This window comes from Homo sapiens, chromosome 10 (assembly GCF_000001405.40).
Source record: "Homo sapiens chromosome 10, GRCh38.p14 Primary Assembly".
Taxonomy (NCBI): Eukaryota; Metazoa; Chordata; class Mammalia; order Primates; family Hominidae; genus Homo; species Homo sapiens.
In genome coordinates, this window is record NC_000010.11 from 13,479,375 (window position 1) to 13,502,244 (window position 22,870).

General features: G+C 41.5%; 1 protein-coding gene across 48 annotated transcripts in view; it reads right to left on the minus strand.

The window, feature by feature from the left end:
• Positions 1–22,870, minus strand: part of BEND7 (BEN domain containing 7) — a 91,154-nt gene that overhangs the window by 40,894 nt on the left and 27,390 nt on the right. For 26 of the 48 annotated variants that reach the window (XR_930472.2, XM_047424786.1, XM_011519393.4 and 23 more), the window contains 4 exons: positions 20,365–20,706; positions 17,392–17,514; positions 13,237–13,502; positions 1,525–1,750 (listed from right to left, as the gene is read on the minus strand). Coding sequence is in view for 41 of the 48 variants with exons in the window: in XM_047424786.1 (XP_047280742.1) it covers positions 1,525–1,750; positions 13,237–13,502; positions 17,392–17,514; positions 20,365–20,706 (957 nt within the window). In the remaining 7 variants the exon portion in view is untranslated. Of the gene's footprint in view, positions 1–1,524; positions 1,751–13,236; positions 13,503–17,391; positions 17,515–20,364; positions 20,707–21,135; positions 21,306–22,870 lie in introns of those variants that run through there. The other 22 variants (XM_011519392.3, XM_005252402.6, XM_047424801.1 and 19 more) reach the window with 6 other exon arrangements.

A 22,870-nucleotide genomic window follows, 5' to 3' on the forward strand; every position in this document is an offset into this window, starting at 1 on the left:
CGATCCACTTGTCACAATCTATTTCTTTACTATCTATTATTAGGATGACTCTTCTACTGTCATTAAAATGGACTATGGTCATTTATGGTTCCCTAATTTCCAAATGCTTTCATAATATTAATATGCTGCCCTGGGGAAAAAAAAAGAAAATTAAAACAATTCCTCGCTGCATTTCAGAAAAGCACCAGTAGCCTTGACCTTCTTGTTTTGAGAAGGGACCCTTCTTCACTTCAGGAAGTCCTACTTACATCATTGACCATTTTTCAAATTCTGTCATGTTGTTTGTAGTGTCACTTCAGGCTGAATCACTCTTTTCAGAAATGGCACAGTTTGTGATATCTCTGTAGCTTTTCATATTTAATACAACTCAACTGTCACTTTAAGTGAAAAAATTCTGATTGAGCATGAGAAATTCTCTGTTAATGAAGGCTTATGTCCTTCTGGCCATGAACAAAGGGTGCTTGGTACTTGCTAGTTCCATTTAAATACCGTATTATTTTATAAAGTTAATTGTGGACTTTCAAGCATCCTTTAAACACTACTGAATTCATTTACTCATTTTGCCAGATAATGGGGAACAGAAGGGGGCAGAGAAGGCCCTCTGCGTCAGTCCCACTTCACAACTCAACAATGCAGGAACTGAGCTAGGAAGCACAGCACCCCTATCCGTTATTCCAGTTTTAAGCAAGGCCTGATTCAGAGTCTCATTTTTCATGGAGTTGTGTTTAGTTTTGAGACTTGGTTTATGTTCTTTTTGGTAAGAACTAAGTACTTCTATTTCCTAAAGTTACACTCATCAGATTGCTTAATATGGGCATTTTAAAGTTAAGAGAAGTAGGTTTAGGATGTGGCACTGGATATAAATGCAGAGGTGCTCCCACGTGCCCCTGCATGGTCATCGTAGTGCAGTGGAATACAGATGCATGCTCAAAGGAGGGAAGGGGGAGAGACCCACGGTGGTCTCTGCATGGAGCTGGCATGACTCCACGGCACAAAACAAGAGGGAGAAGAGCGGGCCAGGCATGTGTGGGGACGCACAGGGTTTGATGTCACAGTAAGGTCACTTAGATTTAAAATGTCTTTAGAAGCAACAACCTGGTAAAGCAACTCTAAACTTCAGAGAGAACCATTTTACTTTATCTTTTTTTTTTTTTTAAGAAGCATCATAGCTTTATTCTCATAACTCAAACTTTAAGTTGAAGTCATATTCTGAGGAAGCTCTTAGAAATTACAAATTACCTGCATTTTAAAAGTCAAGAAAAAACTTCTTTTTGATTCTGCAGCAGGTCAAACTGGCTCTTAAATTATTATTTCAACAAATTAACATTACCTTGAATAATGAATTCTAGTGGTACTTGGGGTGGTGAATTACAGAGCTCACACCCGAAAGCCATGTGAATGGCTAAATTGGCAATGGCAAATGAAACTGGCCACTAGTCAGTTTACTACAATTTCAGCTGCATCGTTACGGAATGAAGGGAAAGCTCAACGAAGAACCCACAAAATGAAATGATGCAGACCAACCTTTTATTGCACCCACAATATTTTGGTCTAGTCCTTTCCGGTTGTCATTGAGTCCTCTTTTCCTCTTCCCATTGGGTAAGGAGTTAGCCAAAGTCTTGTCATCAAAAAACGCACACACCAGTTTTCTAAACAGAAGGCTTCCTGAGCGAGTGTAGTTTGACAATATAGAGTCCAGCTGAGATTTAGGCATAAACACGTCAAAGCCTTCAGCAAGTTGTACTTCTGGCTACCAAAAGAACACAGATATTTCATTAAAAGCAAGATTTGAAGCATCTGACTTTGGGTACATGAGCAACAAAAAAACATCACTAGCTACTGAAATGTACATATCCTACAAATGAAAACACTCTTGGCTTTCTTTGTCTGCCAGGATCTGCTATTTATAAAACCAAGGACTAGTTATAACTTATGAAACAAGATGCTCTAATTCCAATATTGAGCCTTGTCAAAAGCAATGGAAAGAAAATAGCCAAGAGAAGCCTGGACAACCACAAAATCCTATCATTCTAGAGCTAACAGGGAGTTGAGACTTCTGGATGAAATATCCTCATTTTGTAAACAAAGGAACTAAGGCCCAAAGAGATCATAAAAAAAAAGATTGAGAAATAATTCAAATGTGCTCAGTGCAGTACAGTTACAGATCACTTTCTCATACACTAAATAACTTAATTTCTTTCCCCTAAGGACACAGATACGGGGCTAACCCAGAAGGCCCCTGGCTCCTTCTACTATGCCAGTGGCTTTTAGCTGCAGAGATATTTTTTTTCCCCAATGAAAACTTTTGTAAACTAATATGTAAAATAAGTAAAAACGATGAGCAGGTTTCCCAGGCAGTTTAAATCCACTCCCCATCCCTAATTTTGGAAGGAAAATGTGAAACTATGTCCCAGATCACTCTTGGAAAACCAATGTGCTAGCACACTGCTTCCCTGGCAGGGACATCCTGACTGGGATACGGAATCAGAGGACGTCCAAGGTGCCTTTCAACTTGGACGCTATCGCACACGCTCGGCGCTCAGCACGCCTTCTCCAACAGCACGCCAGGAGGTTTACAGCTCACCTTTGAATCTTTCAACCCAGTTCATACCCTTTCCTTTACAAAGCCTTCCAAATGAACTGATCTCCTAACTCCTTCCTGCCCATGGAGGTGGCTACAACTCTCTGTTCCTGCTGTTCATTTAGCAGACATATGATTCTATTTCTTACACTGTATTAGAATTATTTATTAGATTGCAGCCCTCCCTGATCCTGAAGCTCAGACTTTGTATCTCTAGGATCTGGCATATAGCAGGCACTCCATAACTTCTTGTGGAATAGACGAAAGTTCATTAGTCATAACCTGCACTACTAAGTCATTTAGTTTATTGTTGGTTATGACATGGTAGCTGTAAAATAATAACTTTAATATGAAGAAATGCAATTGGTAAACTGTTGTTAGGAAAAAAGTCTGAAGAAAACCTCACTGAATTAAGACATGCTATCAAAGCTGATTCTTAGATCTCCTATTCACCACTCTGCAAAACTGGCCCTGCTTTGCAGTTTCTAATCACATCAGAAATGTGAGGATCCGGGATGAATTTCTCTCCTGGATAGTAAGAATGATTATTTTTGATTTTGTCCTATCACTTTTCAACATGCCACCCCACCTATGGTCAAAGTAAACAGGGCTCAGAGCATAGCTTCAATTCTTTGGATGACACAGGAAGGAGTTTGGGCCTGGTCCCTCCAAAATAGAACTTTTAACTGGAATATCCAGAAAGTCATCTCACACTTCTGCTTCACTTTGCCATTCCATGTTTGGTCTCTGAATGTTTGGTGAATATCACCATACACAGCTATACTGTCAGGTTTTCCCCTTAACTTCTGCATCTTGCTGCTTGCTGGTTCCAGGTCTCCAGAGGAGGTTGTCTGAGCTGGAGGCTGCATCCCTAGATCCCAGAACAGAGGTGGTACATACCAGGCACTCAATATGTCTTTGTTGAATGATTCAATGTAGACACTATTAGGATTGAGAGAATTTTACCATCATAATCTAAGATGAAGTTTTATTCATAACCAGAGTTTTATTTTGCACATCCTATGCTGCATTTAGAACTTTTGTTCTAAATGAACTGATCTTGGATTTTTGCTAAGTGCTCCTGTATCATTTGAAAGCCATTAAAACAAATCCAAGTTTATCTTACAGAAGCAGCTAATCACAGCTATTTGAGGATCTAGTGTGGTTCAGACACTCTTAATGGCAAGAGAGGAAGGGGAAGGACACTAGTTACTTATATAATCTCAGTTTGATTCTGATACCATTAAACAGGTACTTAAAACGCTGACCTCTGAGACTTCCCCTTTGATTCATCCTGTGAACATGGACCCCAGTTTGAAAAACACTGACCTGAATGAGCTACCAGGCGGAACTGGCCACTCCCTTCTTCATGCGCTCATACTGTTTCTAAGAACTCTGTTTACAGCACTTTTCACACAGCATTTGCTTAGCTGGGAGTTTGCATTTGTCATTGGGATGAGGACTCTTGTATTTGGAGTGTCAAACACCCATTGACTGCCCAATAGATATTTGTTAGAATAAACAAAACAATATGTAAGAATTCATTTAAAATGACTGGTGTTGATTCACAGATCTTTTATCCCTGTATAAAGAAAGTGGGTTTGAAAGTTTGCCACGCTGTGCTCAGCACACCTGTGTCTTCTAACAGTTCATGTGGTACCTCCAGGAGTTGGGTGACCTGGAGAACAGTGACCCAGCTGTTTCAATACCTACTCACTGAGCCCCCTCCATGTGTAGGAATCTGAAGGCTGGTTCTGCAGGCAAGACATATGCACAAATACCTATCCTATAAAGTCGAACGTGATAAAACATGAGAGAGAACAGAGCAAGTGCTGTCTGAGACAGCATCAGGCAGGACTTGGCTGCTGGGGGTACGGGAGGAAGGGGGCTCTTGGGGCTCAGGAGGGGATAGGACAGTGTTTTAACAGGATCTTGAAGGTAGGATTCAGGAGACAGGTACAGCCGCTGTTTCTGGTATCTGCCACAACTCCTAACAACTAAGTATCTGGAAGTTTCTGCAGAGCTAAGAGACTTCCAATGCAGATGCTGTCACTGCTTTCCATTCCACTTTCTACTGCCAAATACTGTTATTTTGAACTGTTCTTTCCAGATCAAGGAACATGAACTCACCCCTTTGCAAGCACCTTACAAAGGAGGAAGTAGTCTGATTAGTGGAGGCGGTGGTGGCAGCGGCAGCCGGGGCACAGGTGACTGGGCTCTGTCCTTCCTGTTCTTCTCGGCCTGTCTCCTATTCAGATTTCTAAGCCAGGAGTGAACAAGCGCCAATGCTATCTACGTGTGCCAGGTGCCGCAAGGCAACAACGCCTTAAAAGAACAAAAGAGGGCAGCTTTGTTTTCTGAAACATGAAGAAAAGATGACGTTCACTAATCTCACATTTTCACTAAGAAATCTTTTTATTTCCTCCATTTGATAAATGTAATCACAGTGGATTACTATCACATAATGATCCACATCTTTGTACGTATATTTAAAAACAGGATAAAGCTCTTTCTTTAATTGTATCATTGAAATCTCTTAGTTTACTGACTCTAGTTTAAATGAGATCTCTCTGCTTACTGATAGCTATGACAGAAACCAACACTCTTCCAAATGAATATCATTTTGAAAACTAGACTTCTCTTGACAGATTCACAATTTGATACTCAAGCCAAAGTAGAAAGCGAATATGTTAATTTACAGATTTTAGTGATTACTGAAGTAATACGATTTTTAAATGATGATGTCTAAACGAACAGTTCAAAATAACAATCTAAAGTTGGGGCAGGATTTAAGACACTTAGAGTCATGATTTTAAGAGTTGGGAGTCTGAATTCCTACTATAAATTTGGATTTTCATCTATGTCCTGCCTATTTTAGGCATCTTGGCCACTTAGTACAACAATGTATCAAATGCTGACTCTTCCTTATTCATCTCACACTGGGTGAAGTTCTGGAGGCAAACACTGCATACACAGTCACCAACACTCTTGAAAATGTCCTGGATCCAGGCCTGTGGACTTTCACGAATTTGTTTCTTTGCATTTCAACTGTGGTCTCCCTTTGCTTAGAAGTAGCTGGGGTTAAGATCTAGTTTGGCTGGGGAATCTCCTAACTAGGTAAATGAAGATGCGCCTTCCCCACCCCTCTGCCCCGTTAGGCTCCCAAGTCCCCATGAGCACATCACGTGACTCCCCTGTATAATCGAAAGAATACAAAGTAAGACAATTTTTAGGAGATCATGCTAGTTAACCACCGAGGGACTATTTCTATCATAGGCTATTTTATATAAGGTATTAGTAAGGTATTAATAAGTAAATTACAGTAAGATACATAAAAAGCTACATGTGGTCACTGGTTAAAAGAAGTGCACAAATAATCATACTGGGCATTAACCCCAGATTTTCAATGGCAGATTAATAGTGTACAGATTCTGTGTATTATATAGGGTCACCTTTGCAGGCACGTGCACAGGGCTGTTTGGACTAGGTCATATGCTGGTGGGGATTTGGGGGGCTGGGCTGGCTGGTCAGTCTCAGGTTGGCTCAGGACCAAAAGCTGAAAGAAAACTACAGATGAAGAGGCAGGATCCTGCTGAACAAGACTAACTGATTTGGGGCTGAAAAGCCTATAACAGGATTCATAAGAGTGCTTAAAGGATGTGAATTTAGTCTATGTCCATACCACTATATACAATGATCTTTTGTTCTTGTGTTTATTTCGTAGTATATTAGATGTATTTTGAGGAAAATGTGCTTCAGTTTAAGAAAAGAAATTTTAAAACACAAACCTCCCCCATAATTGATTTAATTTTGTTCATAAATGTGATATGCTTCTGTCTGATAAAAACTAAATGTTCCTGTAACTCAGGTCTGCCCCAGGTGGACATAGCAAGAATCACTATTATCATTTATTTTCTATTTTTAAATTTTATTTTTATTTTTTAGAGACAGGATCTCAACCTGGTGCCCAAACTGGGGTACAGTGGTGGGATCACAGCTCACTGCAGCCTCCAGCTCCTGGGTTCAAGTGATCCTCTCACCTCAACCTCCTGAGTAGCTTGGGCTACAAGTGCGTGGCCAGTTAATTTAAATAAAAATTTTTTCGTAGAGACACAGTCTCACTATGTTGTCCAGGCTGGTCTTGAATTCCTGGCCTTCAGTGATCCTCCCTCCTCAGCCTGCCAAAATGCTGAGATTACAGGCATGTGCTACCCTGCCCAGCAAATTTTTAAAATGTATGTATTTATATATTTTGTAGAGAGGGGGGTCTCGCTTTGTTGCCCAGACTGGTTTCAACTCTTGGCCTCAAGCAATCCTCCTGCCTTGGCCTCCCAAAGTGCTGGGATTATAGGCGGGAGCCAACATGCTCAGCCTGTCATTTATTAAATCCTATGCTGAGAATATAGCCCATGAGGAGGGTAGCCACAAGAGCATGTGGGACTAGATGCTCACCAGCATGGCTGTTCCTGTTGAGCAGCTCAGAACAGAGGTGGCCTGGGGACACAGTGGGCCTGAGCCGCAGTGTGGATGGGACAGGAGCATGCTCGTGTCCTACGTCAAGGCTCATAGTGGAAGGTGGCTGCCCTCTTTTCATTAAGCAAAAAATGCTCCGCCAAAAGTCCTATCTAAAAGTAGGTGCAATTTACACGATAGCCTATAGTGAATGTTGAATGGGATAAAAATGAAAAGAAATCATCCAACAGCCAATTCTTTATAGACATTTTTAGTTGACAATATTTTGGTAGAGCTAAGCATTTAATTTTAGAAGAGAATACAATTTGGTCCCTTGAAATTTTCTCCGTGTACTTGCATAATGAGACATTCCCGTCTTTTAGAGATGCTTTTAGCTTTTTCCTTCTTCAGGTAATAAATTAATGACCCTGAAGACTAGGGCTTGATTTATGCTAAAGATATTTGAGCCAAAATGTACAATATGTAAGAGTCTAACCACTGCAATTTAGCTTCTCTCCTAAGGCCACTGAAATGGCTCCTCCAAGATGTCCACTCTGAGAGACTATCCAGGCTCCCAGGTGACCTGACTGCCTGCGCCACAGCTGACGTCCTATGCTATTATAATTACTGTTTGTGAATTTTCCTTCATGTGCTCCTTCAAGGGCAGGGACTATTTCACACACTTCAGTATGCCCTGGAAAACAGCAATATAATTAACATTTATTTGCTATTTACTATATTCCATGCCCTAGGCTAACACATATCATACAGATTTTTTCTAATTTGATTTTCACCCTATGAAATGGCTACTATTATTATCCCCAGTTTGCAGTTGCAAAAACCACGGCTCAGAGAAGTGAAGTAACTTGTTTAAGATTATCCAGCTAATACACGATGAAGCAAAGATCTGAACTCCTGCAGCCTGTGCTGGAACTTACACTCTCAGGCATACATGGCCTCAATTTCTTTTCTTTTCTTTTCTTTTTTTTTTTTTTTTGAGACGGAGTCTTGCTCTGTTGCCCAGGCTGGAGTACAATGGTGCGATTTTGGCTCACCGCAACCTCTGCCTCCCAGGTTCAAGCGATTCTCCTGTCTCAGCCTCCTGAGTAGCTGGGATTACAGGCATGCGCCACCACGCCCGGCTAATTTTATATTTTTAGTAGAGATGGAGTTTCTCCATGTTGATCACGCTGGTCTCGAACTCCTGATCTCAGCTGATCTACTAGCCTCAGCCTCCCAAAGTGCTAGGATTACAGGCGTGAGCCACCGCACCTGGCCAATGGCCTCAATTTCAATGTGTCAATGAGTAAATTTAAAAAATCATTTGCTTGGTTTTCTTTACTTGATCCCAGTGGATCACTTTATCTATTGGGCTAAGAAGTTGTTAAGAAAACAGATTTCAAGGCCGGGCATGGTGGCTCACACCTGTAATCTCAGCACTTTGCGAGGACGAGGCGGATGGATCACTTGAGGCCAGGAGATCGATACCAGCCTGGCCAACCTGGTGAAACCCTGTCTCTACTAAAAACACAAAAATTAGTTGGGCATGGTGGCAGGCACCCATAGTCCCAGCTACTCAGGAAGCTGAGGCAGGAGAATTGCTTGAACCCTGGAGGTGAGCCAAGATCATGCCACTGCACTCCAGCCTGGACGACAGAGTGAGACTCTGTCTCAATTACAAAAAAAAAAAAAAAAAAAAGCAAGCAAGCAGATTTCCAATACAGATATTCTGATGAATATCCACAATTTATCTTCTGAAAACTTTTAAACTGGCATAATCTAGTATTACTGGAGACTATTTATAGTAACTACAACAGATAGAAAAACATTTCCTATTATTAAAAATTATTTTAAAATATTGTTAAAAACTAATCTGATTGTTTCACCAAGCTGAAAAACAAGAAACGAAAAGTAACAACAACAAGACAAACTTAGGCCATGTATATCTGCCCTGAAAAACACAAATCAATATATATAATCTTGAAAAACAGCGACCATAAGAAATTAACAACTGTCTTCTCTCAGTATTGGTAGAGTATTGGGTTGTGAACTCATGAAGAAAGAATTAAATACTGTATTTTCTTTTTTTCTTTTTTTTTGAGATGGAGTCTTGCTCTGTCGCCAGGCTGGAGTGCAGCGGTGCAATCTCAGCTCACTGCAATCTTCGACTCCCGGGTTCAAGCGATTCTCCTGCCTCAGCCTCCCAAGTAGCTGGGATTACAGGCATGCGCCACTGCGCCTAGCTATTTTTTTTTATTTTCAGTAGAGACGGGGTTTCACCATGTTGGCCAGGACTGTCTCAATCTCCTGACCTCCTGATCCGCCCGCCTTGGCCTCCCAAAGTGCTGGGATTACAGGCGTGAGCCACCGCGCCCGGCCTAAATACTGTATTTAGATCTGAAATTTAGTTTTGGGTGTCTGCTTCTGTGTATAGTTGAGGTTTGAATTTTATTTAATGTGCTACTTTTAAAAGGGTCAAATAATCCTGCCCAAAAGAGAAATATTTCAGGCTATTCCCTTTCTAAAAACACTATTTGTTCACGTGTATTTTTTTACTGATAGATATAGATAAGTTTTATTTTAAAATATTTATTCCCATAAAGACACTGAGGTAAGAATGCTAAGGTTAAAAAAAGAACTAATATTTATTGAGTGCTTAAAATGGGCCAGGCCTTGTTCTAAGTGCTCCACAGGGATGACTTCATCTAATTCCTCCAATGGGCCAATCCCAGGAGGGAAGCACTTGCTATCCCCATTCTACAGAGAGAAATGGAGTGGGGAGGGGTCAGGTTCATTGCTCAGGGTCACACAGCTGAGAGTCTAACCCAGGCAGCCTGACCTAAGAGCCTGCTCCCTGACCCATGAAGTTCTCCCCAAGAAACTTCCAAGTAAAAAGAAACAACTGCCACAGCTGAAACTTTCAGTTCTTTCATATGATAATCATCCCCTCAACAGTGACTGAGTGTTCGTCACACACAGGCATTGGGCTAGAATGGGCACCCGCAAGTCCTTTGCGCAGTGGACAAGGGCAGATGACAGACCTGGGTTGCGGGACACACTCCACTTTTCTTGGCTGTGTGAACTTGTGCAAGCTGCCCGTAGAAAGCGGATAAGAAGAATACCTCAAAGATGGCGCATGAATACTATTACTATTATTATTATTATTATTAATCACAGTCTCTGCTCTTGAGAAGCTGGGGTGGAAGGATGCATTAACGTGTATCCTGTTTGTATATTTACAAACTATTTACAAAATATACTGTTTGTATATTTACCAAACAGTATAGAAGTTCTATCCAGGAGGATCGTTCAAATCACAGTAGAGCCTTGAAGGGGAGTAGGTGGGTACAGAGAGGAGGAACAGGAAAAAACAAGTAAACTGCAGTGAAATTGAGGAGGGGGCTCTCCTTAAAGCTAAGTCCTAAACTTAATGTTTCCCAAGTTTATTTTGTATATTGTGCTTAATGCAAATGCAGATGTTTCCTCCTTCGCAGATTAAACAAATAACATTTACTGAGTACCTTTTATGTGCCAGGCACTGCTACAGGATTTTCCCATATACTCTATCTCATTTGATGCTCACAACACTCTGCCATTTTTGACATTTTGGTTGGTTCTGATTAGAACTTAGTGTTTTTCTGCATCTGAGTAGGGACTATTGTTATCAGTTTGAAGACAGTGGCTGATCTGCCATGATTGACAGCCCCTTGTGGGCCCTTATGTTTGTGTTTGTGCCATGGGTATATACATTGGCATTTGGGTGACACTACGAGTCACAACGCAAAAAGGGAACTCTATACACTGTAAGCTTTTTTATATTTACAAAAGCGATAAAGCATGGGTTTCCAGTGTCACTTTTCATCGTTTCCAGTGCTAATCTTTCTCCTGTGCTCGAGGTGTCTAGCAAACGTGTTGAGGATATGAAATTCACTTTTCCTTCCCATCCAGAGCTGAAAAGCCTGCACTGCTCTTGCTCTCCGCGTCTCAGTTGAAGTCTCAGCTGCAGCTGTAACCCAGCAAGTTTCCCAGATGGGAATCCGGGGCTCACTTCCCACTCAGTCCCCGTGTCCCTCCTGAATGTCTCTCCATGCTCTCCTCTCCAGGCTCACTGCTCCTGTCTAGCCCTCCTGATCTCCTGCCTGGCAGGCTGCATGCATCTTCCTCCGGCTATCTCTATCTTTCTGTCAGCCGCATGCTGTTCTAGCTACGGTTCTAAGATTCAGGCACAATTCTTCCTTTACTGGAAACTTGCAATGGCTCCCTCCTGCCCACAGATAAAGGCTGAAGGCCTCACCTGGACTTTCACTCTCTCACCCCACCCTGCTTTTACCAATGCCAGCCAGACAGCTGTTCTAGCAACACTGGGCCACTTGCCCAATCCTATGATTTTGTTTTTTTGTTTTTGTTTTTTTTTGAGACGGAATCTCCCTCTGTCACCCAGGTTGGAGTGCAGTGGTGTAATCTCGGCTCACTGCAACCTCTGCCTCCTGGGTTCAAGTGATTCTTATGCCTCAGCCTCCCGAGTAGTTAGGACTATAGGCATGTGCCACCACATCCAGCTAATTTTTGTATTTTTAGTAGAGAACGGGTTTTCCCATGTTGGCCAGGCTGGTCTCGAACTCTTGACCTCAGTTGATCTGCCCACCTTGGCCTCCCAAAGTGTTGGGATTACAGGGGTAAGCCACCATGCCTGGCCTCACTTTTCTTTAGAAGCATGTTATTCTTCCAAGACAATCAACAGCTAACTGAGTTTTCATTAGCCGGGGGTGGTGGCAAGTACCTGCAGTCCCAGCTACTCAGGAGGCTGAGGTAGGAGAATTGCTTGAACCCAAGAGGCGGAGGTTGCAGTGAGTGGAGATCATGCCACTACACTCTAGCCTGGGCGACACAGCGAGACTCTGTCTAAAAAAAAAAAAAAAAAAAAATGCTTAGAAAATTTAAGGACTGAATGTACTTTGTGTTGAGGAATAATTTACCTCTGTTTCCGAATATGTGATCTACCTGGGGTTTGACTCAGGGCCCTAGTTGCAATAGCAATATGATATCATTGCATGAGCTGACTGGTCCAGCATAGAACGTTATCATCATTAATGATGTTTTAAAATTAAATTTTTAGACTAGATGAACTTCTTAACAATTGTAGCAAGTGTTTATAGATTTCAAAAAAAAAAAAGAACCTTTAACACCGAGAATTAGGTAAAAGTTCCAACAACTTTCCAATCTAAAAAAGTCACAAGATGATGATTTTTGTCCCCTCCCTTTGTTAAAAACCCAATGTGGATATACCCTAGCAAACTGTCTTCCCACAATTTCTTTCAAAATTTTTAAAACTTTTTTAAAAAGCAATTTGTTTCCTACTTAAAGTTTAAAAGGTATGGCCAACCTCCAATCCTATACAGGCCTGCGGGAGTTCGCAGCAGGATTCTCGTCCTATGCAATCTGATAAGAACAGATCCCCCATTCTTGTTTATTTTAAGAACTCTCCCAACAAGTTAAGGTTCACAACACAAACATACTTAGAGAAAGACATTGTAAATAGAAATGCAATTGCAAATATAGTGCACTATTAAACACATTCGTTTATGGTCCTATGAATGTAAAATAGCAAGTCAGATGGTTATCTCGGATGTCATCCAACATTCTGGACTGCGGCAACATTCTGGCTGTGATATTAAAATAGAAAAACCTTTGCAGAGCCTTAACCTATCATTACACGGAGTAAATGGCATGGCGCTGCCACCTAATTAGTGGTGTGGCTTGCATCTATAAAATAGAATTAGCATGACTGCTCCTTTTTTATTATTAGTTTGTGTTTCCAGAAAGGTGCGATCTTATCTGTATGGCCCTGTTCATTTATGCCCATCTACAAAGGATTTAATTATATTCTTTTAGGTCTCTACACTAAGGAAATTGAAAATTGTCACTGCAAAATTAAAAATGCAAAAGAAATTAGTGAGCAGATTATTTACGCCATCACCCTCCTCCTTTCGGAGACAAAAACTGGAAACCTGTCTAAATAAATAAGGCATCACATTTTCAGAAAAGAAAACTCCAGACAAGAAAATTATTACCAGTCTTCTTTTCTTCTTTCCCACATATAGTCTGCAAGTTTCTCTAGTTGTCAAAAGGGAAATCTATAAATACTATAAAATTCCCAAAAGTTACATAGCATTAGAGTCAGCAGCCAGAAAATGGCAACTTACATCTGAGGAAGGTGATTCCAGAACAATGCCGAATCCTAGAACGCGGCTCTCCTCCGGGGAGGTGTGCTCGGCTGCCTGGAGAGCAGATAGCTCAGAGGCCACCACCGACTTTTTCTCCATCTCTGACCCACTGGGCTTCTGTTTCACAGTAAGAGGTTCCACAGTCTTTGGGGGCACTTTTTTCTTTTTATTTCTCTTTCGTGAGACAGCAGTTCGCTGGGAGCATATAAGGGAAATTGGAGGTTGTTGTCTGTTTTGAGTTCCAACTGCGAATAATAAACAAAAATATGGTACAGGCACGTGTGTCTGACTTAGGAAAACTTATCTCCGGTCTATCCATGTGATCTACAAACTGAAACCGAAACGAGGAAAACTCCAGGATGAAGCACACTAAATAAATCTCCAACTGGACCTAAAGGTTACCAAACGCAGGCTCTGAAGCACTTTCAAGTCCTAAAGGCAGAAAAATACTCAGGAGAAAGCGTTACTGCAGGTGAATCGTGACAGCATACTGCTGTTGGGTTCAATGCAGGGAAAGGATCATGAGCTGTGAGAAAACACCTGAGCATGGCTTTATAAATCATAGGATGTTTTTAAATAAATGAGAACTTCGGGATTTAAATTTAGATAGAGACGGCTGTGCTTCCTTGTAATCCTGTTTCAGGATTACATTTGGGGTTAGACTGATCCGTTCCTAATAATCTACAGGTGCCAAAACTGATAAAGATGAGACAGTGATGATCATTTGCGCAAGACTGATCAAAAGAAGCCGTCTGGGATGATTCTACATTAGGGACCAGTAAGCATGTGGGAAAAGCCTATTAGTTACTTAATTAGGACCAGTGAATCCTTCCTCACCAAACAAATATTCTCCACACATCAACCACCTCCAGAGCACCCTGCTACATGGCCTCAGACCAGGCTACTTCTCTAGACCTCGGTTTCACATAACTGAAGGAGCAATATCATTCTGTACAAGTCAAGCAAATCAGTGAAATCTAGAAACAGTTCCAAACATGAAAAGCACAGTACAGGAACCAAGTATTCAACCTGATTCTATACTTAAAGAAATCCAGGATGGTAAATTACAGTTCTCACAGGTGCACTCTGAGAAGTTATGTTTGCTAGCCATTTAAAAATACTCTCTTGGAAAGTGTAATTGGAAAACATGGCATCATTGTTTAAATCCTCAAGTATTAATATAGCTTCCTAAATATGACTATAGGATGTCCCTGCTTTTCAACAGAAATGAACCTATAAGACAAGTGAAAACTAAAGGTCTTTAAAGGCATATAAACATGAATCACCTCCTCTTACCTCTTATCAGTCTGAAAATAAAGAATATTTACACTTTGATCCTGATATTTTTGTCTCCAAATTCAAAAGCAATTCATAAATATTAGAAGCAAACTAATTGCACTACATAAGAGCACAGAAGTTTTTAAACCAGTAATTAGTCTAGCTCAATGGTTCTCAACCTTGGTTGTACATTAGAATCACTTGAGTTTAAAAAAACTGAGATGCCGGGCCAGGCATGGTGGCTCACCCCTGTAATCCCAGCACTTTGGGAGGCCGAGGTGGGCGGATCACGAGGTCAAGAGATCGAGACCATCCTGGCCAACATGGTGAAACCCCGTCTCTACTAAAAATACAAAAATTAGCTGGGCATGGTGGTGGGCACCTGTAGTCCCAGCTACTTGAGAGGCTGAGGCAGGAGAATCACTTGAACCCAGGAGGCGGAGGTTGCAGTGAGCCGAGATTACGCCACTGCACTCCAGCCTGGCGACAGAGTGAGACTATGTCTCAAAACAAAAACAAAAACAAACAAACAAAAAAACTGAAATGCCTCAGCCCCACCCCAGACGAAGTGAACTGACACCTCCAGGCATGCTGCCTGGGAAACAGCATTGTCTGAAAGCTCTTCCAGTGATTCTGCTGTGCAGCCAGAGTTGGGAACTTCTCTTTGGTCTCTCTGCATTCCCCCTCAAGGCTGGGTCTGCACCCTCAGAATCAAAGGGACCTCGAATAATGATCACGATGGTCTAGGCCCCAGGCCTTGCTAAGCCTCATGATTCTCAATTAGAAATGAAAATGTTTTGGTTTAAGGAACACGGGGACTATCTGAGTTTTTCTTCTCCTTTTGCAAATCTAGACACAGCCCAAGTCTCTGGCATCCAGATCTTACCTCTAGGTCTTATTCCCTGTCTTCTTAAAAGAAAGGTGAAACTTTCTAAATGTAATTTAAATCTAAGTCTTCAGGCATTAAACCTTAAGTAAATCTACCCACATGACACAAATTTTTAAGTTTAAGAAAATTAAAGGAGAGTAATTTATTCAGTTTATCCTTTGTGCCATCCTACAGCTTTGGAATCGTTTACCTCCCTAATCTGCAAAGGTTCAGAAAAGAAAACATAGCGACAAAGTGGCATTTACTTAATAGATTCTAAAAAGGCTTCCGTCAAGGATTTAAATGGTTGCAATTTGTAGTTTGCCATTTCAGTAGTAAGGAGCTTAAGTGACAAAACAAATCATTACAATTTCATATGCATATTTTCTTAAGTGCTAACAAATTCCTCCTCGGAGAAAAGAATCCGAACATCATAAAGTAACCTTTCTTTCTGAGCTCCTTATTTAGGAGATGTTAACCTCCTCCAGGTTAATAAGAACACAGATTATCGTAGTGGAACAAGGTGAGTCCAATGCTTACTGACCTGAGCAAAATACTTCCTTGGGGTAAAACCAAATTCAGTGCTTAAAAAGATGCTGTTTAGCCCGGCGCGGTGGCTCACGCCTGTAATCCCAGCACTTTGGGAGGCTGAGGCGGGCAGATCACCTGAGGTCGGGAGTTTGAGACCAGCCTGACCAACATGGAGAAACCCCATCTCTACTAAAAATACAAAAATTAGCCAGGCGTGGTGGCACATGCCTGTAATCCCAGCTACTAGGGAGGCTGAGGCAGGAGAATCGCTTGAACCTGGGAGGTAGAGGTTTCGGTGAGCCGAGATCATGCCATTGCACTCCAGCCTGGGCAACAAGAGTGAAACTCCATCTCAAATAAAAAGATGCTGTTTTTCAGAAAGTAGCTCACATTACTTTAATGTGATCTTGGGTGACTGATATATCTAAGTATTAATTAAGCTTTTTATATCAAAACCACATCACTGAATATTAAAATTATACTAGAATTCACTAAATGGCATCCTGAACAGCTTCTGAGTGACGACCTTCCGGACTACCATCCTGATGAAAGGGCAGGAAAGCCAGTCACGACATGGCTTAGATCAAGTGGTGATGTCCCTTGACAAGAGGGAAAACTTAATACAATGATTTATTTCTTGTACCTGTGACAAAAACAATTCTGTTTTCCCTCAATTGTGAAGATCAGAAAATACAGCTGCTATAATGAAGACGTAGACTTCCAGACTTCTATAGAACGCTTCATGGACTTTAAGACCACACTAATGAAACAGCTTAGGCTTGTACCATGCCTTATAAAGTTCATTGACAGCTACTACATCATTCTATTTTGACAACAGCCCTGTGAGTTAGATATGAATTCTCCATTTACAGACGTGAAATAGGAAGCTCAGATGCGCCACACAGCTCCAAAAGCAGAAATTGGCATCCAATCCCAAATTACAAATCCACTGCTCTTCCGTCCCTCAACTTGCCTGATGGCAGTGAAAACAAAAAGGAGTCACATAAACAAAGACGACAGAACACGGCGGATTTCTGAGCTTCCGCATCCTGAATAGGAGAGAGAAAAGCCACAAAGCATAGCCTGGGGCTCCACATTTCTTATCTGCTTAGTGCTTGAACACTGAAGCCCATGCTTCCTAAAGGACCCCTCCATACACAGTTGTTCCCAAATTTAATTAACTGACATTTGTGAAGTACTAGGAGATCATGGAATGAAGTCTATCGAGTACATACACATAATTATATGAGCTGTATCAGTAGCAAGACAAAATATGTTTGATTTGCTAAAGGAAAAATGGATTGTAGAGAAAGCTGAAAAAACAGATACTTGAAAAGGCACAGCAAGACAGCAAGGTGAGAAGAAGGCTTTAATAAAAGCACAATGAACATTCCAACGGAAGATGTCAGATATGCATTAAAAATCAAAGGACTCATTCCGAGGCCTGATCCTTGTACCTGCTTGAATTTGCATTAATTTCCTCATGGTCTTGAGTTCTTGTAGAATGGCCTGCAACGTTGACTGGCAGTTACAAGTACAGCAGTTTGATCCAGCTGATGAATTCACCACTGGAAGTTCTCCTGAGCATGAAAGAAAAGAATGACATACTCCAAACAAACCAAAAAAAAAAAAAAAAATCATAAAGAGGTGGAGAGAAAAAAGAAAGTATCTTGGCAGGATTTTGAAGCATGTGCAATTATGATGAAGCTGTGCCTAAGGAAAACGTACCCACTAATTATCACAACCTAAATCTGGGGGTCTGACTTTATCTAATTATCCAGGCTTCCATACTGTAACGTGCGTGCTGTGGCGCGGTGCGGGAGCCCGCATGCACACACACACACAATGAGTGGGCACAGCAGGCCTCCCTATTGTCAGAGCTGTTCATCTCAAATAACAACACCTCAAAAACTCACTCGAAACACACTCATGCTAGTTCACACAAAAAAGGAGCCCTGAGGACAGCCTTGCAAAAAAAATTTGGTAGCTGTGTTTAAGAGTTCATATTAAAAATTATATGAGTTCTATTGAAAATAGTTTTGATATTAAGCACATTATTTCAAAAACAAAGAACTGTGCACACATGAAAACTTTTAGAATACTCTCTGGGTGTGGCGTTTGGGGTGGGGAAGCACAGAGGAGCAGGGATGGGAGGATATATTCGAATTGGATGCGTTCGAGGGTATTGGTGGGCTGGCTGGCTTTTCTTCAGCTTCACAAAGAAAATCTCTCTACCTCTTTTCTCCATTCCCATGTCTTATCTTTCCCTTGCCACAGCCTCTTTTGCACTGTTTAAATTTAATGCCTTTTCCTTGGTAAACCTATCTTATTCTGTTTCTCTCATAGGTAAGCAAGTATCTTCTATTGTCCTTAGAATAAAATGGGACATTTGGACATTGCTCTTACAGTGGGTTCCCTCCAGCACCTGTTCACCTGACCACCATAAAATGGAGCAGTTTAGAGACTTCCAGCGCTCACATTGTCTCACAGGCCAGCAAGGTAAGTTCCATGGTTTTGTTCCAATTATATGTTTTATTATACTTTATATACCTTAAATCCTGTAATATGCATTATTTAGGAATACTATAGAAAAATTCACCAGAGCAAAACCATGAAATACTTCAGGATAACTTAGTGATTGTAGTGGTACAATTATTTACATTCAAAATTGTAGCAAAATTGTAATGTTACAACTTTAAAATTATAAATAATCCCAATGAAATACCAAAGTAGTCACAGTTATATGTAATATATTTCTTTTTCTTTTTTTTTTTTTTTTTTTTTTGAGACAGGGTCTCGCTCTGCTGCACAGGCTGGAGTGCACTGGTATGATCTTGGTTCACTGCAACCCCTGCCTCCCAGGCTCAAGCGCTTCTCATGCCTCAGCCCCCCAAGTAGCTGGGACTACATGCATGCGCTACCACGCCCGGCTAATTTTTGTATTTTTTAGTAGTGATGGGGTTTCGCCATGTTGGCCAGGCTGGTCTCGAACTCCTGGCCTCAAGCAATCCACTCATCTCGGCCTCCCAAAGCGTTAGGACTACAGGCACGAGCCACCACGCCTAGCCATATTTCTATTGAAAACATAAAATATCTATTTTCAAACTGATATGGGGGAATTTATGTTTGTAACTTTTACTAACTTCATACTTTTCAAAGTAAATCCACTGTCCCTACTGTATACTGGGAAACAGAACACTGTTCACCCAAAACTTACTGATGTGGGGTTTATTAACTTCATACATACCTAAGGGTATTTTATTTCTCTTATTGTCTCTTCCATGGTAGTAGAGTTAGAAAGGTCTTAAAGAATATTTCTAGTCACTATTCTAAGTACCATCTTTTATCATTTTTAGAAGACAAAACCAACCCTTTTCAGCTTGTTATAAATCATTTTCTAATTTTAAAGAGAACTGACTTTTTATTTTTATGGAGGAGTCTTTAAAGAGCTGTGTCCCTCTAACCTGGAGGCATGCCAGCATTGGAACTTTGATACTGGCTTATGTACTACTGAGAGGCAGAGAAGACACCCATACATTTCTGGGGTCCTTCGCTGTCTCATCAATGTCTCAGGATGGCTTTTCATGCCTCTGAACCACAAATTGTGTTTTTAAAAAAAGTCAAAACAGTTCTCTTTTTCTTGAAGGATATTGTGAAATGAAAATGAATGGAAAAAAATCCTTAACTTCTTAAGGAAACTGAAAATGCTTTCTTACCTTTTTCTTGTTCTCTTTGTGAAAACTATAGATCTGCACATCTCTACAGAGTTTATAGAACAAATATTATAGCATCCAGTGTGGCCGGATAGAAAACTAATATGACCACAAAAAGCATCAGGTTTTTCTCCTTAAGCTTTGAAAAAAAATTGTCATTTGATTCTTTTCTTAACAATTAGGAAACTTAAATTAAGAAAATTTTACTTTAAAGGAATACTTTCCATTGCTAATGAAGCATGTTACAAAATATGGATCACTGGGTTCAGTACTGACGTGGGATGCTGGGTTATCGGCCCCCCACCCCTGTCCGCCCCCGCCTTTATCTGGGACTCTTCTGATAATGAGTAAGGTGAAGGAGTAACCAAGAGGATATGTTAGTAACACACCATAGGACCAGGAAGCTTCTTTTAAAGACAGTGGGGAGCTCTTTCTGCCCTAATGTTCAGGTTTTTTTTGTGACAATAATATCCATACATGGGCACAAAATGATCGCTTTAACCTCTTAAAGGGCTAAAATCTCTACCAGGAAATCTTCACTTATAACATAGAACCCCCTGTCTTTCCTAATTCTCAATTCTGTTTTTTAATAGTCTTCAACTCTTTCCTTTGTGTCTCCCTGTCTTTTAAAGTAACTCAGCAAAGGCAGGTAATTATGGGAGGGTTTAATAAATTGAACTCAACACACTGAATATTTAGAAATAGAACAGTACAAACCCCCATGAGAGCCTTCTGAATGTTTGTTGACAACCATACCATTGGAGCTCGTGGTAGGGTGGGGCTGGCTTTGGAAGGTTCTAGAACGGGTGCCATACTGCCCTGAGAACTGTCCACTCTGGGGCGGTAGCTCATTCCACACACCACGTGAAGACGGGTGGAGGCTTTGCGGGGCCTCAGCAGAGGAGTTCAAACGTGGAGGCCAGACTAAATCCAGGTCCTGGGGCTCTTCTTTTAGTTTCTCTCCTTCTTTGCCAACTCGCTGATAGATCCGCCCAGTGCTGTCGTTCAGCAATCTTCTCATCCCTGTAATTTGCTTTTTTATTTCCATGCTTTCATCTCCTAATGGAAACAGGGCCAAAGTTAGCACTCTAAATTAGTGAAAGAGAAAACAGTTCACTAACCAAAAAGAAGAGAAAGAAAAACAACCCTTCTTTGGAAATGGGAAAGATGACTGACTCTATGAACTTAATCTGTAAAACGCAAAGGCAGGAAAACTGACTACGGTCTGAAAAAACCCATCCTATTCCTGGTGCCTCTCATTTTAATCTCTTTCTGCAAGTCGCTTATGATGAAAGAGGTTTCTTGAGAGTGTGTCATCAGGAACAAACATGACATTCCCTCTTTGGAAGCATTTTCTGAATGAGTAGGTGATGAGGAAACAGGCTGAGACAGAAGGTCAAGGATAGAACTGGACCGCGGAACCCCTCTGCTCTGATGGGCCACAGCCACCCGTGAGGAATGGGCAGGTCACTAAAGCGCTCTGCTCACTGTCTGTCAGCTTCACCAGGCGGGGCAAGGACAAGGAAGAAAGCCTGGACTGGCAGGGACGCAGGGCTTCACTACTGACACAATGTCCTTCAGGATGACTGGCAGGGATGCAGGGCTTCACTGCTGACACAATGTCCTCCAGGATGACACGCTGCCGCTGGAGACATCACCTTCAGAGAGGACGGCCGAGGAGACAGAGAGGCGCCGAGTGTGGCAGCATGGCAAGCGAGGGGGTTTTGTCTTTCTGGCACTCTGACTCCCATCACATCAGCCTGGTGATGACCGAGGGGTCCCTGCCACTCGAGGTCACTGGCGGTACCAGCACTGGAAGGGCGGAAGTGCAACCTCCCCACCGTGCCCTCCTCCCATGCCAAACGCACTGCCACCTCCCCTGCAGCGTAACTGTGTGCGAAAGGTCACAGGCCACTTTGAAATCCCACTTCACCTACACTGACTTCTTTTTTTAAGATTTTTCTCCCGTCTCAGGACATTTTTTTAAAATGAAAGAACTTCTATACTGCACTGGGAGTACTTAATAAATATTAAAGATGTCTGTAATATTGCACAGATAGAAAATCTTTTTGGCCGGGCACAGTGGCTCACGCCTGTAATCCCAGCACTTTGGGAGGCCGAGGCGGGTAGATCACCTGAGGTCGGGAGTTCGAGACCAGCCTGACCAACATGGAGAAACCCTGTCTCTACTGAAAATACAAAATTAGCCAGGCGTGGTGGCACATGCCTGTAATCCCAGCTACTCACAAGGCTGAGCCAGGAGAACCCGGCTCACCCAGGAGGTAGAAGTTGTGGTGAGCCAAGATGGCACCATTGCATTCCAGCCTAGGCAACAAGAGTGAAACTCCATCTCAAAAAAAAAAAAAAAAAAAAAGAAAAAGAAAATATTTTCTATCAATAATAATATCAGAGGATGCTGATATCTGTTAGGAGCTATTTCAAACACACTATCTTCTTAAACTGTGCATCAGCCAGTATCTTCATAAAGATGAAGAGAAATGAATTTTTTTTTCTCAAACCCAAAAGATAAAATCTTAGGCCACTGTTGGGCATGGTGGCTCACACGTGTAATCCCAGCCCTTCGGGAGGCTGAGATGGGAGGGTCATTTGAGCTCAGGAGTTTGCGACCAGCCTGGGCAATATGGAGAAACCCCGTCTCTACAAAAAGTACAAAAGTTAGCCCAGCATGGTGGTGTGTGCCTGTGGTCCCAGCTACTTGGAGGCTGAGGTGGAAGGACTGCTTGAGCCCCGGAGGCAGAGGTTGCAGCGAGCCGAGATTGTGCCACTGCACTTCAGCCTGGGTGATAGTGGCAGACCCTGTCTCAAAAAAAAAAAAAATCTTAGGCCAGGGTATGTGTGTGTAAACATTCATGCAGTTACTCTAATAAATGCTTGAAATTTAAACTGTAAGATAAAGAAAAGGCTAACAGACAGCATCTGTTAAGAAAAATACAGCTCCTACAAATACACACAGCACATTCAATATAATGATTGCACTTAGGATCAATTATAATGATCAATATATGTATATATAAGGATATGTATATATATATATGGATCAACATAATGATTGCACTTAGGATAAGCCAGGTTTCTCTGTAGAACTGGTAACTGCACAATAACCTAGCCGTTTTGTGCTTTCCAGTTAGATATTTAGCTTATTAATATATGTGTTATGTTACTAAATAAGGAAGTTTATTTTGAATTTACTGTTCACTATTTT